An 18,721-nucleotide genomic window follows, 5' to 3' on the forward strand; every position below is an offset into this window, starting at 1 on the left:
GTCTGAACTGTCCAGTAGGATTTTTAAAGCTAACATTTTCTCTCAATAAATCTATCTATTTATCTTAATTAATTTTCATGACCATCCTGTGAAATTGTAGAGTTCCACACTCCCACATCCAGAAATTCTTGGGAGCCAGATGAGTCTCAGAATTTAGGGTTTTTCAGACTTTAGAACAACCATGGAGTGCATGGATTATATGACATTACAGTCTCTTTGGGAAACACCTCATAATCAAAGATGTTGATATTTCTGTAGCCTAATGTATACATGGTGTCTCTAAGAGGAAATAAAGACAATTTAAAAAAACAGGCTGGGCACCACAATTTGGAAGGCCGACGCAGACAGATCACCTGAGGTCAGGAGTTCAACCTGGCCAACTGGTGAAACCCCGTCTCTACTAAAAACACACAAAAAATTAGCCAGGTGTGGTGGCACGTGCCTGTAGTCCCAGCTACTCAGGAGGCTGAGACAGGAGAATCGCTTGAACCCGAAAGGCAGAGGTTGCAGGGAGCCGAGATCGCACCACCGTACTCCAGCCTGGGTGACAGAGCGACACTCCATCTGAAGAAAAATAAAAATTAAAATTAAAAACCACTAAAAGTTTCTTTCTGGTAGTTTTTGCTGCCAAGTGAGTTCAGATCAGGTCATTTTCTTGCTACCAAGTGAGCTAGGCTACCAAATCAAAGCAAAACAAGAGAAACAAAATAATAATTTGTGGTTTTACAATTTTGGAATTTTAAAATTACAAATACGTGGTTGTGGACCTATATCACGATTCAGTTTTATAGATGAGGAAAATGAGGCTTGGAGAGATTCACTAATTTGCCTGAGATTTTAAGGAACTGAGATTTGAATCAAGGCAGTGAGCCTCCTGGCTTCAAATGTCTGGACTCCTTCTTGCCCACCAGAAGTGCCTTCTCTGACTCCACCCACTAACAGCCACGTTCTGTTTAGGTTCACCACTGGCCTAGGGACATGAGACCTGATGACAGCTCTTCCCATCCTGAGTTCCTGCAGCTGCTTTGAGTGCTTTGCTTCCCTACTAGACTCCTGAGTCCTTCCAGGTCAGGGATTCTGTATCCTTGCTTTTCTAGTCCCTGGGCCACAGTGGCACTCCAAAAATATTTGCTGAATTGAACTTAAAGCTTTAACCAGGAACACAGGAGAAAAGGTAACATTAGAACTATGAGAAATCATAGAGTCATGAATGCCTGATTTGCGTCCCAATCTGCACATTGTCCTATAAGAGTTTGAGATGTAGGTTTACATGTTGTGCTAAACCTGGTCATTCTGGTGTAATATAGCATCCCCATCCTGTCTTCCCCACCATACCCTCCCCCACCACACATTCACACAATGTGCATTCCCCTACCATATATGAACACACACATACTCATCAGGTTTTAAGACTTACGACATGAAGAAAGTACCTTTCCGTAGAACATCAGTTTGTTCAGAATATTCTACATATGTAGGAATTTGCTCCACAATGTACAGAGTGCCTTTGTCAAGACTGTGGTTCAGCTTTACTTTCTTCAGGTCCAGAACCATGTATTGATTGTTATAGGTGCCTGAAATATCAGGAAACATGAAGACGGGGCATGGGTATGACTTTACTGGTTAACAAGCCTAAATCAAAATATATGTCTGTGCCTAACAGTTATTCTGCAGGGTCACTTACCAGAGTTGTATTTTGAAAAGATGTCTGCCCACCTCTTGCCACTATCTGCCATCATATTGGCCACACGGACTCTTTGCCAGGACAGGAGAGTCTCGGGTATTACCTGCTTTAGCAGGGTTTTATTAAACACACTGTTTGTGGTCTGCAGCAATATCAATCCACTGCTAAGAATGTAAAAATCATCCAGAGACTCCAAAAACCCTACAGGAAAGACAAATATACACATCAGCATATGTATACATGGAACAGTGAACCATCATTATTGACAAAGAGCTTTACATACACAATGCATTTTGCAAAGTGTATCAGTTATTACTATCCTTGATCTGCAGTAGCCTCCCCCAGCTTTGGCTCACCTCTGTGGTAGTCACCCAACTGCCCCTTATAGAGGTGCCAAAAGAACTCCACCCCTGGATTCTCCATTGAAAATTTATTTTGTGATTTGAAATAACAAAAATATGTTAAATCCAGAACATTGCAAGCTTCCAGAATGATAAACAGATGTAGATCCCGACTTGCTAGGATTTTGCAGGAGAATTTTTAATTAGGGAGGGGATTAGCAGGGTTCATTAGTAAGAATATAAATGCCTTTTTTTCTTCTTTTCTACTTTCCTGTATTTTTCAAATTTTGTATAAGTCTACTTTTTTTTTTTTTTTGACACACAGTCTGACTCTGTCACCCAGGCTGCAGTGTGGTGGCATGATCTCAGCTCACTGCAACCTTGCCTCCTGGGTTCAAGCAATTCTTGTGCCTCAGCCTCCTGAGTAGCTGGGGTTACAGGTGTGCACCACCACACCTGGCTAATTTTTGTATTTTTAGTAGAGACCGGGTTTCACCGTGTTGGCCAGGCTGGTCTCAAACTCCTGACCTCAAGTGATTCACCCACCTTAGCCTCTAAAGTGCTGGGATTACAGGTGTGGGCCACCACACCCGGCTAAGTCTACATAATTTTTATAAATGGAAAAACATCTACATTTAGAAAAGTAAAGATGGTTTTGAAACTAGGGCATTGACACTCTTGGTCAATGCTTTTTTATAAATGTTGGAGGCAACACAGGAAAATCAGTGAAGCCACAGTCTTTTCTGAAGACCTATTTTGTGGTTTATACTGGGATGAGTATGGAAAGGATAGAATATCAGGCACAGCTGTAATAAAAAGAGAGGATATACTGTCATCAGTAACAGTAATGGAACAACTGTCAGTGTTAAACAGAAAAGGACCTCAGTGGTAGGGTTAGAAGGGGCCAGAGTGGTAAGTTCCTTCGGTGCATCCTGCTGAAGGGTTTTAAGGCCCTTACAAAACAGTCCCGAGGGAGCTAGCTAGCCCCTTCCACTATGTGAGGTCACAGAGAGAAGGCACTGTCTACGAGAAACAGACCCTCATTAGACACTGAGTCTTCCAGTCCCTTCATCTTGGGCTTCCCAGCCTCCAGAACTGTGAGCAATAACATTTCTATAGCTTATAAATTACCTAGTCTGAGGTGTTTTGTCATAGTAGTCAGAATGGACTGAGATGGTCTCAAATTTCTACCATGATTTTTTACCACTTTTATCATTTTTGCCATATCTGAGTACTATCTGAACTATCATTTAGTTAATATTTTTGTTATTTTTTAACTGACAAGTAAAAATTATATATATTTATGTTATACAAAAGAAAGGATATTTTGATATCTGACAAGGAAACATTGTATATATTTTGGCATACAAAATGATATTCTGATATATGTATACATTGTCAATGGCTAAATCAAGCTATTAACATATGCACTACTTAATATCTTTCTTCAAATTAACTCACTTTTCAAACTTAACTTACCCTTGTCATATATCATAATGTCTCAGAAACTATGGACTTAATGTTTTTGTTTTTTCCCAAAGAAATACATTAAAACAAATACATTTCTACTAATGTGCAAAAAATGTTTGTCCACATACTGCCTCAAATCACCCCACCAGCCCTATGCATGCTATTACACATCTATTCTAGCCTAGTATGGAATAAGTAAGGTGGGGTCAAAGAAACGGGTCACCTGAAACCGGAGGTAAGAGCATGGACTGGGAGTCAGAAGACCTGCATTTTAGTTTCCTGCTTGCCTCTAATGAATTTGACAGTTCTTATTTTGCCTCTCTCTTCCTTATTTCCTTCTTCTGATAACCTGGGACTAATGTCATTCAGCTATTCAGCTCTAACAATCTGATTTTAATTTCTTGAAATTTCTTGAGTAGGAAAGTTACACGATGAGAGGACTGTCCAACTAACTCTTAGTTTTTTTTTTTTTTTTTGAGACGGAGTCTCGCTCTGTCGCCCAGGCTGGAGTGCAGTGGCGTGATCTTGGCACACTGCAAATTCCACCTCCTGGGTTCACGCCATTCTCCTGCCTCAGCCTCCCAAGTAGCTGGGACTACAGGCGCCCGCCACCACGCCCTGCTAATTTTTTGCATTTTTAGTAGAGACGGGGTTTCGCCATGTTAGCCAGGATGGTCTCGATCTCCTGACCTCATGATCTGCCCGCCTCGGCCTCCCAAAGTGCTGGGATTACAGGCGTGAGCCACCGTGCCCGGCCCCAACTAACTCTTAATGAGCCTCTACACGGCTGCCATTAAGCTATAGAGAGCTTTGTGTAAATTAGAGAAAGTTGCACATTCCAAGTGGTACAAGGTTTAACAGTACTCTTGAATGAAATTTTAATGGGTCACCTCTCTAGAAAGACATGACCTGGGCAAGGATATATGGCTTGACAGAGTGTAAAATGGATTGCATTCGTGTCTTGGGCTGGGATCATTTTTCAAACTGTACAACCATACTTGGCAGCCTTGAGAAAGCTCCCTGGTAGATAATCCCTGTAGGGTAGAATGCTGTATTTCCGGAATGACAAGTTTGCTAATTCAATACTTGCTGTAGCAGTCTCCCTGGACACAAGAGGGCAGGCGTTCTTTAATATGTGTAGGTGATTGAATATTACAAGTACTAATGTTTAAGGAGTAGTCTTTCATTTAAAGGCAAGATTCTTTATGAAAGAGACAGGATGATGGAAATATATAGGCTATCCAGAGTTCTAGAGCAAGGAGAGTGAACTGGCCTGCAAAAACTATAGTTGAGGAGGCTAATTCTATAGTTTAGAGTTTAAGATAATAAAGAAAAGGCCCAGAGATGGGACAAAGTTCTGACACATTGCCTTTGAAAAGAAACACATTTCTTTGACTACATACAATTATAATCTTTTTAAATTTTTTTTTTTTTTGAGACAGGGTCTCCCTGTGTTGCCCAGGCTGGTGTCGAGCTTTAGAGTTCAAGGGATCCTCCAGCCTTGGCCTCCCAAAGTGCTGGGATTACAGGTATGAGCCACCACACCCTAACTAAAATTATAATCTTGCTCTCATCTGTCATTAGCAGCTTTGGAAGGCAGATTGAGATCAGGAGAAAATGAAACACTCCAGTGTTTTATGAATGCCAGCCTAAGAATAACATTTCATGATAAGCTTCTCACTGAATTTAATTAAGAAATAAAAAGAAACACTTCCGGTTAATAAATCCTATTTCAAGACTTAAAAAAAACACCAAACTGCAGAAATAAACAGTAACCACTATGTAGTCATGCAAATGGCAACAACAGTTACTCAACACACACCATGGAACAAACACATTAGAAACAATTATGAAGATTGACTCATGGGGAGTTGCATGTTGAGACAGGGTGGAGTTGAGGGAAATCATCTTATGACCAGTTAATCAAGAAAAGTATGAAAACTAAGGTGGGATTTCTGGAAAGGTAGAAGGGAGGACACATCCTGATTTAGGTGGGGAAGATGATCAAGACAGGTCTGATCTGGCAGAAGACATCAGTGTTCTGGGATGGTACCAATGAGGAGACAAAGAATCAAAGAAAGGTACTTAAAAAAAAAACAGAAATTAAGTGCTGCAAAATCCATTTATAATTCTTTAGAATACGTGCCCGTATTCTGCTATTGCTTTTTTTTTCTTGGTTCTACCTTTTAAAAGCAAAGGACATGAATTTTGGTCTGTACTAAATATAGATTGTTTTTATATACTTCAGCTTTATGACCAAAGTACCTAGATCAAAGAGGTAACATGACATTAATAACAGTAATTACAGAACATTAAAAATGTTTACAACATATATTTATTAAATAGGCAATTTTATAGATTATGAAGACTTGACTTAAATTTTCCTGGAGCCTATTCTTTTATCTTCATGTGTACCTACTTTCAAGTACATGCACTTAATATTTAAAAAGGCCAAGCTGGCTCATGCCTGTAATCCCAGCACTTTGGGAGACCGAGGTGGGTGGTGAATCATTTGAGGTCAGGAGTTTGAGACCAGCCTGACCAACATGGTGAAACCCCATCTCTACTAAAAATACAAAAAAAAAAAAATTAGCCGGGCGTGGTGTAGTCCCAGCTACTTGGGAGGCTGAGGCACAAGAATTGCCTGAACCCAGGAGGCAGAGGTTGAATTGGCCACTGCACTCCAGCCTGGGCAACAGAGCGAGACTCCATCTCAAAAAAAAACAAGGCCGGGCACGGTGGCTCACGCCTGTAATCCCAGCACTTTGGGAGGCTGAGGCAGGTGGATCACAAGGTCAGGAGTTTGAGACCAGCCTGACCAACATGGTGAAACCCCGTCTCTACTAAAAATACAAAAATTAGCTGGGCACGGTGGCGCGCGCCTGTAATCCCAGTTACTCAGGAGGCTGAGGTAGGGGATTCGCTTGAACCCAGGAGGCGGAGGCTGCAGTGAGCCGAGATCGCGCCATTGCACTCTAGCCTCGGTGACAGAGCGACACTCCATCTCAAACAAAAACAAAAACAAACAAACAACAACAACAAAAAAGGCTAAGCAAAGATTTTGCTGCTTAGACCACAAGGGCTGCCATAGTCTCACAAACAGGATGGACTATGGATTCAGTATGCTAGGATGGTCTAGGGTGCTTGTTACAAATGTCCCAGCCCAGATCAATGAAATATGAATTTCTATGGATGACACTGCATTTTTAGCAAGCTCCATAGGAAAAATTGGGGAACATCTAAGTTTAAGAGGTATGTATACATGTATGGGGGAGGTGATAGCATACCTGTATATAATGAGAAGTAGGAACACACACACGCTTGGGGAAACACACTAAATGCATCCCAGAAAGCCTCACTTATAGATCATTAAGCTTGAAGCCTCAGCCTTATGGGGATCATCATTACTGGGATCCTCAATTAAAAGTCCTTTGAGGCCAGGCAAGGTGGCTTATGCCTGTAATCCCAGTACTTTGGCAGGCAGAGGAGGGCGGATCACCTGAGTTCAGGAGTTCGAGATTAGCCTGGCCAGCATGGAGAAACCCTGTCTCTACTAAAAATACAAAAATTAGCAGGGCATGGTGGCATACGCCTGTGGTCCCAGCTACTTGGGAGGCTGAGACACAAGAATCGCTTGAACCTGGGAGGCAGAGGTTGCAGTGAGCTGAGATCACGCCATTCCACTCCAGCATGGGCGACAGAGTGAGACGCCATCTCAAACAAAAAAAAAGTCCTTTAAATAGGTTCCATCTTTTATTCCCACATAGAAGCTCCACCCACCTGGCATGGCAGGAAATCCTTTGAGTTCACTGCTCTTTTAGTTTTTTGTTTGTGTTTGTGTTTTGAGACAGGCCATGCTCTGTCGCCCAGGCTGGAGTGCCGTGGCGTGATCAAGGCTCAAGGCAGCTTCAAACCCCCAGGATCAAAGGATCCTCCCACCAGGCCTCCTGAGTAGCTGGGGCTACAGGCATGCACCACCACACCTGGCTAAATTTTTTAATTTTTTGTAGAGACGGGGGTCTTGCTATGTTGCACAGCCTGGTCTCAAACTTCTGGGCTCAAGCGCTCCTCCTGCCTTGGCCTCTTAAAGTGCTGGGATTACAGGTGTGAGCCACCACACCCAGCCGGCTCTTTCAGTTTTAGCCATTTAATTTAAATCCAAACTGCATCATTTCTAAAAAAAAAAAGAAATGGATATTTATAGTTAGATATATTGCCTTTGCACCCAGTCCTCAACCACTGAATTGTGTGACCTTGACCTGTTTGACTATTTAACTTCTCTGAACTGTTTATTTTAAAAATGCAGACAAAATACCCTCCTTGAGGCTTTTTATGGAAGGCAGAATTTGTAAAAGTCAGTATGCTTTGCCTCTCGACTGCATTAACATGCCACAGGCTCAGACTGTTTTGTGTAAAGGATGTCAAAGAACTGCACTTTGTCTAAAGAGAAGTTTGATGTTTTGTATGCTTGTTAAGAAAATACAATACTAGAAGTTAATGGTAGACAACTGATTTTAAAAATACCCTTCTTGTTAGGTTTTTATGAACATTAAATGACATAATAAAAACAAAATGTTGGCCTGGCACAGTGGCTCACGCCTGTAATTCCAGCACTTTGGGAGGCTGAGGCAGGCGGATCACTTGAGGCCAGGAGTTCGAGACCAGCCTGGCCAACATGGTGAAACCGCGTCTCTACTAAAAATACAAAAATTAGCCGGGCGTGGTCACACACACCTGTAATCCCAGCTACTTGGAAGGCTGAGGCACGAGAATCACTTGAACCTGGGAGGCGGAGGTTGCAGTGAGCTGAGATCACACCACTGCACTCCATCCTGGGTAACAGAGTGAGATTCTGTCTCAGAAAACAAAACCCCCAAAACAGACAAAAACAAAATGTGCACAGTGTCAGGGACAGAGCCAGGTACATGGTAGGGGCTAAACACATATTCAGGTTTTTTGTTTTCCTTTCTATTTAATAACTAGTTGAACACAAACAAGCTTATAGTAATTTATTTAAAACTTAAATTCTGCCTAATTCCCATAAAACTAGTCAGGTCCCATTCATGTTATTTATCACAAAGGATTTGCTTCAAGTAACAAGTCCTGTGCTGAACACATAGGTTTTGCATCTGAAGTCCCTTGCTTACAATTCCTGAACATCTTAGACTCCTGTTCTCAAATCTAGGGTATGAAAGGGAGGGCAGGATGAATAGAAAGCAAGTTACAATAAGAACTGTGATCTCTTAGGCAGCCCCCACCTCCTCCTTGTTTTATTGCCCGTCTTTCTTTCCTACAGTTCCTACCATGTCCACATCAAAGTGGACATAATCTATCTCCTTACTGTTTTCCCTCTAATCCTTCTTTCTTCCTTCCTTCTTTTCTCCTTCCTTCCATAAATATTTATTCAATGATTATAATATGCAAGGCTCTGTGCTCATCCTGGGACACAGACATGAATACAGAATATGGGCTTTGAAGAAATTATGCACAGGGTACCTAGGAAGCTCAAAGGAGAGATAACTTACTTGGCCTGAAGGTTAGTAAAACCTTCTAAAAGGAGCTCTTGTGCTACTCTTTGTTAATATGAAAAGCACTAGGGTATTATGTATTACCCAGCCAAAAAAAAAATGCTCGTATCAAGGGTGAGTATTCCAATAATAGCAGCATGATAAAATTGAGTGATTTTCCCACAAATAATAATTATAAAACTGTATAAAATTATTTAAAGCAATGATCTGAAGATACTAGGAATGACCAAAGGCAGAGAGAAACAGAACATTAGTACAGCATTGGTTAAGATGGAGTATGAGGCTTCCTTGCCTGTGTGTATTCCTAAACCCGTGATATGGACTGAATTCTGTTTCCTCAAAATTCATATGTTGAAGTCTTAACCCCTAGTACCTGAAAATATGACTATATTTGGATACAGAGCATTAAAAAGGTAATTAAGGTCAACTGAGGTCATATGGGCAAACTCTAATTCAACATGACCGGTGTCCTTATAAGAAGAGGAAGTGAGCCGGGCGTGGTGGCTCATGCCTGTAATCCCAGCACTTTGGGAGGCCGAGGCAGGTGGATCATGAGGTAAGGAGATCGAGACCACCTGGCTAACAGGGCGAAACCCTGTCTCCACTAAAAATACAAAAAATTAGCCGGGTGTGGTGGCATGCACCTGTAGTCCCAGCTACTTGGGAGGCTGAGGCAGGAGAATCACATGAACCTGGGAGGCAGAGGTTGTGGTGAGCTGAGATCGCACCACTGCACTCCAGCCTGGATGACAGAGTGAGACATCATCTTAAAAAAAAAAAAAAAAAAAGGAGGAAGTGATGCCAGGTATAGCCCACACAGAGAAAAGGCCATGTGAGGACACAGTGAGAGGGTGGCCATCTGTAGGCCAAAGAGATAAACCAAACCTGTCAATATCTTGATCTTGGACTCTCAGCTTCTAGAACTGTGAGAATAATTAATTTCTGTTGTTTAAGCCACCCAGTCTTTGTCATGGCAGCCTTAGCAAACTAATATATAGCCCATACCCAACTCTAGTTATGGAAAACTAGAGCCATTCTGGCTTGAGATGGTGAGATCAAAGTCTAGTATTGCAGAACAGCTGAGAATTTAAGAGGAAAATTTTGGGAGCAAGAGAACCACAAGAAGAGCAGAGATCCAAAATCTGAATATGAACTGTGTCCTGTTCCCTGACTGACCACTAACTGTGCATGAATGTGGGAAATGCCAGGGAGCCCAGGGTAAAAACAGAAAGAAATGAGAAGGGTTTTCCCTTGTAAGACAGAAATGTTCTAGAACTGAGATAGGTGAGTTTGCTGCAACTTACACTGCCAGGGTTCCCAACTCATATGCAGCTCAAATTCCTCAGGCTCTCAGAGGACAAAGGTAAGAGCTGGAAAAGCAAATGGGAATATAGGGGAAACCTTAGGATCAAGGAAATCACAAAGAGAGTTAGCTCTATAATATGAATTTGAGCTGCCAACATCTTTCACTGACTGCTAAATTACACAGATGCAGGAGCAACCTCCAGAAGACCAGGTTGAAGCAGCAGTGTTGAGGAAGGACATTGGTTGCTGCACACTGTGCAGGTGACATATGTTGAAGTTTGAGTGCAAGCAAGGTAATTGCCTGTTAAAAACAACAACAAAAAAAGTAAAACAAGTGACTTCAGCAAGATGTCTGACTAGAGGTGCCTAACATTCATTTCCCTACAAAAAAAAAGGAACCAAAATGATGAATAAACAACTACATTTTGACTAGAGTATCCAAAGGAGAACACTAAAGTGTTCCGAAGGAGTACAATAAGGGAGGGGCAGAGACCCAGTGGAGCATGGAGACTTGGGATGGCTGCATAAAAAAGAGAATGAAACATTCTGCCTTTGCCACTTCGTCTTCCCAGTCAAGGTCGGTATGAAACCAGGAGGCAGTCTCCCTACGGAGAAAACGTGAGCAGGAGAACTCCCAGCAATCTCCATTAAAGATGCAAACACCTACAGTCTTTGCTGCTTGAGAATTCTGCAGTTTTCACAAGTCATGAACCCATTCTAGGGAGCTGCCTGGCATTCACATGGCTGTATTACTCCAAAGAATGAGCCCACATTGTGCCTCCTTCTCCTCTGTGATCTAAGCTGCTGATGTACAGCACTATCTTGAGACCGGTGCCACTACTATAGTACACTGTGCTCTGGAGGGCCAGTAACCACTGTTTGTTTCTCCCCATCCTGAGGCTCTGCTGCAAGTACACTGTGCTTGTAAACAGTAGCACACCACTCACCAGTTGAGCAGCTACTGTTTCCTATCCACCAGGAATAAGCTGCCTACGATGCACTCCATCTTCCCCATCCCTGTGGCACAGCACCTCAACCTCAATTACTCAGAGCATAGGCCCAGTGAAACAGCCATAACCTTGGTGCCTGAGCCCATGTGGTGTCCTGACGCCCAAGGAACAGATGATCCTACCCAGCAGGAAGGCCACACCTTACCCTGAAGGAGCAGTCCCTATGCACTTGCGGTGTGTGTAACAGCCTGGCACTCCTGCCCCCAGAGGACAGACTGTGTCTAATCCTATTGGAGTAGGCCTTGTGCACCCGTGGCGCATGAAACAAACTGGCACCCTTGCCACAAGCAGAAAAGCCATGCATATGATTTGACAGAGCTGCCATACAAACTCCTCCAGGCTAGGATGCCACTGAGGCATCCATAGAAATTGCTAACATTGACTACAGCTGAAAAAACTGCATGGTGACTACACTACTGCATCCACCTGGAACCACAGCCAATGCATCCTCCACAACCGACACCTTAGGACACATCTGCAGGCAAAAATCTTTTCCTATGATAACAACTCTATACAACTGGAAGAGGCATCCATTCTATCAGATGCCCAGACATCAGTGCAGGGACACAAGAAATATGAAAAAGCAAGAAAACATGATACCACCAAAAAAACACAATAACTCTCCCATAACTGACCTTAAAGAAATGGCAATTTACTAATTGCATAAAAAATTTAAAAATATGATCTTAAGGAAAATCAATGAGATTCAAGATAATATAGATAGGCAATTCAATAAAATCAGAAAAGCAAATCATGATATGAATAAAGAATTCAACAGAGATATCATTAAAAAAAAACTCTTGGAGCTGAAGACTTTAATGAATGAAATAAAAAATATAATGGAAAGTTCCAACAGCAGACTACACCAAGCAGAATAAAGAATTTCTGAACTGAAGACAGCTCTTTGCTTGAAGAGTGAAGAAAGCCTACAAGACCTATGAGACACCATTAAGTGAACACATTTTCACACTATAGAAACTTGAGAGGGAGAAGAGATGGAGAAGGGCACAGAAAGCTTCACAAAATAATAGCAGAAACTTCTTAAGTTTTGAGAGAGATATAGAGAACTCTATGCCAACAAATATGAAAACTTAGAAGAAATGGATAAATTCCTGGGCACATAAAACTTAACGAAAATTGAATCATGAAGAAATAGAAAATTTGAACAGACCAATAACAAGTAATGAGATTGAATTAGTAATAAAAAGTCTTCCAGAAAAGAAAAGCCGAAGACCCAATGGCCTCACTGATGAGTTCTACCAAACATTAAAGAAAAACTAATACAAATCCTTTGAAAACTATTCAAAAGACATGAAGAGGAGGGAATACTTCCAACATCTTTCTATGAGACCAGCATCACCCCGATTCCAAAACCTGATAAGGACACAACAAATAAATAAATCTATTGGCCAATATCCCTAATAAACCTAGATACAAAACTCCTCAAAAAAATATTTAAAAACTGAATTCAACAGCACATTAAGAAAAATCACTCACCATAATAAATGGGATTCATTCCAGGGATGCAAGGATGGTTCAATATATGCAAATCAATAAACATAATACATCATATTAACAGAATCAAGGACAAACCCATGAAGGGATGTTGAATCTATTGATCTAGAAAAGATATTTAATAAAATTCAACATCCCCTCATGATAAACACTCTCAACAAAACAGATATACAAGAAATGTAACTCAACACAATAAAGCCCATATATGACAAATTCACAGCTAGCATCATACTGAATGGGGAAAAGTTGAAAGCTTTTCCTCTAAGATCTGGAACAAGACACAAATGCACCACTTTTATTTAACATAATACTGGAGGTTCTAGCCAAAGCAATCAGGCAAGAGAAAGACAAAAAGAGCATCCAAATTGAAAAGGCAGAAATCAAACTGTCCCTGCTTCCAAATGACATAATCTTATACAGGGAAAACCCTGAAAACTTCACCAAAATACTGTTAGAACTAATAAGTAAATTGAGTACAGTTGCAGGATATAAAATCAATATACAAAAATCTATAGCATTTCTATATGACAATAGCAGACAATCAGAAAAAAATAAGAAGGCAATTCCATTTACTACAGCTACAAAAACAAACACTTAACTAAGCGGGTGAAAGATCTCTATGATGAAACCTATAAAATATTGACATAAGAAATGAAGAGGATACAAATGGAAAGATATTCCATGTTTACGGATTTGAGGAATTTTTAAAAAAATGTCCATACTAATCAAAGCAATTGACAGATTCAGTGCAATCTCTATCAAAATACCAATGACATTCTTCATAGAAAGAGAAAAAAATCTTTAAATGTGTATGGAACCTCAAAAGACCCCAAATAGTCAAAGCAATCTTGAGCAAAAAGAACAAAGCTGGAAACATCACACTACCTGGCTTCAAAATATACTACAAAGTTATAATAACCAAAACAGCATAGTACTGGCATAAAAATAGACATATATACTAATAAGACAGAATAAAAAATACAGAAATAAATTCACACACTTACAGCTAATTGATTTTTGACAAAGACACTAAGAACACACATTGGAAAAAATTCTCTTTGATAAATGGTGCTTGGAAAACTGGGTATCTACATGGAGAGGAATGAAACTAGACCCCTTGCTGGGTATTTATCCAAAGGAAATGAAATAAGTATGTTAAAGAGATATCCACACTCTCATGCTTATTGCAGCACTATTCACAATAGTCAAGATATGGAATCAACCTAAATGGCTATCAACAGATGAATGGATAAAGAAAATATGATACATATACATATAATGGAATACTATTCAGCCATAAAAAGGATCAAATTATGTCATGTGTAGCAATGTGGATGAGCCCTGAGGGCATTATGTTAAATGAAATAAGCCAGGCACAGAAAGACAAATACTCCACAATCTCACTCAGATGTGGAATCTATAAAAGCCGATCTCATACAAGTATAGAGAAGAACAATGCTTACCAGCAGCTGGGGAGGGTAGGCAAGGTGGAAAGGGCTTAATCAACAGGTACAAAATTACAGTTAGATAGAAGGAGAAAGTTGCGGTATTCTATTGCACAGTAGGCTTACTATAGTTAACAATACTATATTATATATTTTAAATAACTAGAAGAGAGATTTTTGAATGTCCTTACCATTAGAAAGTGATAAATGTTTGAAGTGATGAATATTCTAAATACCATGATTTGTTCACTACACAATGTATACATGCATCAAAACATCACACTGTCCCCTATAAATATGTACAATTATATGTCATTTAAAAATAAAATAAAACATAATTCTCAAAAATACACATTTCAGAGACACTATGGTGTGCTATTTTTCAAGTCCACATTTCAACCAAAAATTACCAGGCACTACAGTTAACAATATTGTGTTACATATTTCAAAATAACTATAAAAGAGGATTTTGAACGTTCTTGCCATAAGGAACTGATAAATGTTTGCGGTGAAGAATATACTAAATATGTATATACATTGTGTAATGATCAAGTCATGGTATTTGCTATATTTGTCACCTCAAAAGAAAAAGGAAGGTACGACCCCACACTTAAGTCACTGGAAACTGTTTCCAAGTAGGTCTTGATATTGGGTTTAGCGGACAAAGACAAAACAGGAAAATATGGTTTTAAGAGTTACCAGAGAGGGAATCTCAACATAAAATTAGAAATTAAAGAAAGAACAAAATTGAAATTCTAGATCTGAAAAGTACAGTAAATGAAATGAAAAACTCACTGTATACTTCAACAGTAAATTTGAGATGGCAGAAGAAGGAATTAGAAAACCTGAAGATTGTGGCTGGGCATGGTGGCTCACGCCTGTAATCCCAGCACTTTGGGAGGCCAAGGCGGGTGGATCACCTGAGGTCAGGAGTTGGAAACCAGCCTGGCCAACATGGTGAAACTTCATCTCTACTAAAAATACAAGATTAGCCCAGTGTAGTGGTGCATGCCTATAATCCCAGCTACTTGGGAGGCTGAGGCAGGAGAATCGCTTGAACCTGGGAGGTGGAGGTTGCAGTGAACTGAGATCGCATCACTGAACTCCATCCTGGGCAACAATAGTGAAACTTCATCTCAAAATAAATAAATAAATAAAATAAAATAAACAAAAAATAAAACAAAGAAAACCTGAAGATAGAAGATTAATGGGAATCATCCAATCTGAAGAACAGAGAGAAAAAGAAAACTAAATAAAATTTACAAAGCCCCAAAGACTTGTGCAAAAATGTTTAGCATCTGATGGATAAATGACTGGAGTCCCAGAGGGAGAAGAGAGAGAAAAGAGGATGGAAAAAATATGTGAAGCTATAACTGGTGAAAAACCCTTACATTTAATGAAAAACATTAATTTGCAGTTCCTACCAGCACAACAAACTTAAAATACAATAATCACAAAGAAGACCAGAGCTAGCCCACGACAAAGCTGAAGTCACCAAAAATCTAAATGCAGAAAAAAATTAGAGAGGAAAATAATATACTTAACAGCTTACTTCTCAACACACACACACACACACACACACACACACACGCACACACACACTTGTTTTAATTTTTTAAAAGACAGTAAGTTTTTAAGTAAAAAATCATAACACCATATTGGTGTATTTATAACATATATAGATGGAGCATATATATGACAACAATAGCACAAAGGATGGAAGGCACTAAATGGGATAATTACCATTTTAAGTTCCTATATATTTTTTAGCAGACATAATTGCTTATTAACTTTATGCAAATTGTGATGAGTTAAAGATGCATATCACAAGCCCCAGGGACAACAATTTTAAAAATGCAAATAAATATAGCTAGAAAGCCAACTTATTAAAATATAGAATATTTTGTTATAAAACCTTTGTTAAAATGTTTAACACAAAAAAAGACAGGAAAGGAGGAACAGAGAAACAAAATAGAGATGAAATGAACTAAATAGTGAAATGGCAGACTTAAATCTAAATATATAAATATTTACAGTAAATGTAAATGACCCAAACACTTCCATCAAAAGTAAGAGACTGTCAAACTTGATTGAAAAGAAAGCAAAATGTACTAATTATCTGTCTACAAAAGACATACAACAAACACAAAACCACAAATAGTTTGAAAGTAAACAGACATTCCGTTTGTGCTAACAAATTAAAATATGCTTTGATTCATACTTAAACCCGAAAGCAGGAATGCCTACATTAATTGCTACATTAAAAACAGCCATCTACCCTTGATTATCTAGAAAGACTTGGTAATGATGGCCAGTTCCTTTTAGGTTTTAGAAAATCAAATGATGACCTAAATTTCCCTTAATTTGCAAATACAGTAGTAATTAAGGTACATCTCTAAAGTGGAGCACTTACACTAGGCTCTAAGATTCACTCTGAGGTGGAACTTAAAACCAGTATACTGTATGTATGCATTGGTAATAGCGACTTTTGCTTCATAGCTTCATACCAACAAAATATATTAGAATAATATGAAAGTACTGGAGGAGCTGAAAGAAAAACATCCAAGGCCGGGCATGGTGGGTCACGTCTGTAATCCCAGCACTTTGGGAGGCCGAGGCAGGCAGATCACCTGAGGTCACGAGTTGGAGACCAGCTTGACCAACATGAAGAAACCCCATCTCTACTAAAAATACAAAATTGGCCGGGCGTGGTGGCGCATGCCTGTAATCCCAGCTACTCGGGAGGATGAGGCAGGAGAATCACTTGAACCCGGGAGGTGGAAGTTGCAGTGAGCTAAGATTGCACCATTGCACTCCAGCCTTGGCAACAAGAGCGAAACTCCATCTCAAAATAAAAGAAAAAAGAAAAACACCCAACATACACATACGCCTTCAGACTTACAGACTTAAGCTGCATTTATGGGGAAGTGATGAGGTTTAGAACATATATATATTTTGTTAAAATTCCCCAGATGATTCTTGGTATGAACTACTACCGTATAAATTTTAAGATATACTTAGAAATCCTTAAGACATCTAGCCCCATCTCTAATAGACAACACATTTATATTGCAGATATTAATTTTTTTTCAGTTTATGACCAGTTATTTGTGAAGGACTTTTGGCAGGGAAAATATGAATATGCTAACTTTAGCTTATGGCACCAATTTACTAAAGAACAACAGGGTCACCAACTGATCTCAAACATAAAAAAACCCACATCAGTCTGATATGATATTGTGCTACTTTGAATCTGTTACTAGTACCATCTTGACAGAGGATACATGCTCCCAAAACGTTTGTTACCACACTTAAAAATCACTGCCATCATTAAGCATCAGCTTCAAAATTATATCTATCCATGATTTACTTTTTCCAGATGACTACCGTTATTCTAGTCTTTTGAATTTGTAAGGTGAAAAAAAACAAAAACAAAAACTTACGATGCACTTTCCTCCAGCACATAAGATTTCAAATTGAAAATTAAAGACATGCTATGGTAATGCAGTTGCTAGTACTACACACTTTGTACAACAAAAAACAAAGGCAAGAAACTTAATGGAAAGAAAAGAACCTTCCTTTATTGGCCCTTAAACTGAATCAAGATCTGAAATGTAGAGATGATCTCTGACATTTATAACAGATACCTGTATGTTATTTCTGTGTAAATAAAATTGCTGGTATGAAATGACAAAAAAAAAAGAAAGTAAACAGACAGGAAAAGTACAAGATGAAAACAGTAAGCATAAGAAAGCTGGAGTGGTTATATTAATATAAGACAATGTAGACATTAAGGCAAGGAGTTGTACTAGAGACAAAAAAAAAAGACGTTTCATAATGATAAAAGGGTCAATATAGTAGGAATATACCATACTTATGAATGTATGTGCTAAATGATAGAGTATCAAAATGCATAAAGCAAAACTACCAGAAATGAAATGAGAAATATAATCTGCCATGGGATTAGAGAAAAAAGATAAGAAAATGAGAAACAGACAAATTAATAATTATAGTGGAGGTATAAATATTTCTTTTGTAGTAAATGATTAACAAATAGAAAATCAGTTAAGAGTATAGATGACTTGAATTACACTATCAATTAACTTGCACTGACTGACATTTACAGAACACTACACTCAGAAGTACTAGAATTTACATTATTTTCTACTGCATATGAAACATTCATTGAGATAGACTCATGCTGAGCCATAACACAGGTCTCAATAAAGTTAAAAAAATTTGAAATCATACAGAATATGCTCTCTGATCTCAGAATAAATTAGAAAATGCAATTAAATTGGAAAACAGTGACAAAGATCTGAAAAATCTGTAAATTTTTGGAAATTAAACAATACACTTCCAAATAAGCTATGGATTAAATAAATCGTGATAAATTAGAAAATATTCTAAATGGAATAAAAAT

The 18,721-nt window shown here is 39.1% G+C and overlaps 1 protein-coding gene across 1 annotated transcript in view; it reads right to left on the bottom strand.

Moving 5' to 3' along the window:
* The window catches only part of PLBD1 (phospholipase B domain containing 1), a 64,223-nt gene that overhangs the window by 6,166 nt on the left and 39,336 nt on the right, over positions 1–18,721 (bottom strand). Inside the window, exons 7-8 of the mRNA NM_024829.6 lie at positions 1,685–1,885; positions 1,434–1,574 (exon numbers count right to left, since the gene is read on the bottom strand). Of these exons, the coding sequence (NP_079105.4) occupies positions 1,434–1,574; positions 1,685–1,885 (342 nt within the window). The remainder of the gene's footprint in view (positions 1–1,433; positions 1,575–1,684; positions 1,886–18,721) is intronic.

Source organism: Homo sapiens, chromosome 12, assembly GCF_000001405.40.
Source record: "Homo sapiens chromosome 12, GRCh38.p14 Primary Assembly".
In the NCBI taxonomy this organism is placed as follows: Eukaryota; Metazoa; Chordata; class Mammalia; order Primates; family Hominidae; genus Homo; species Homo sapiens.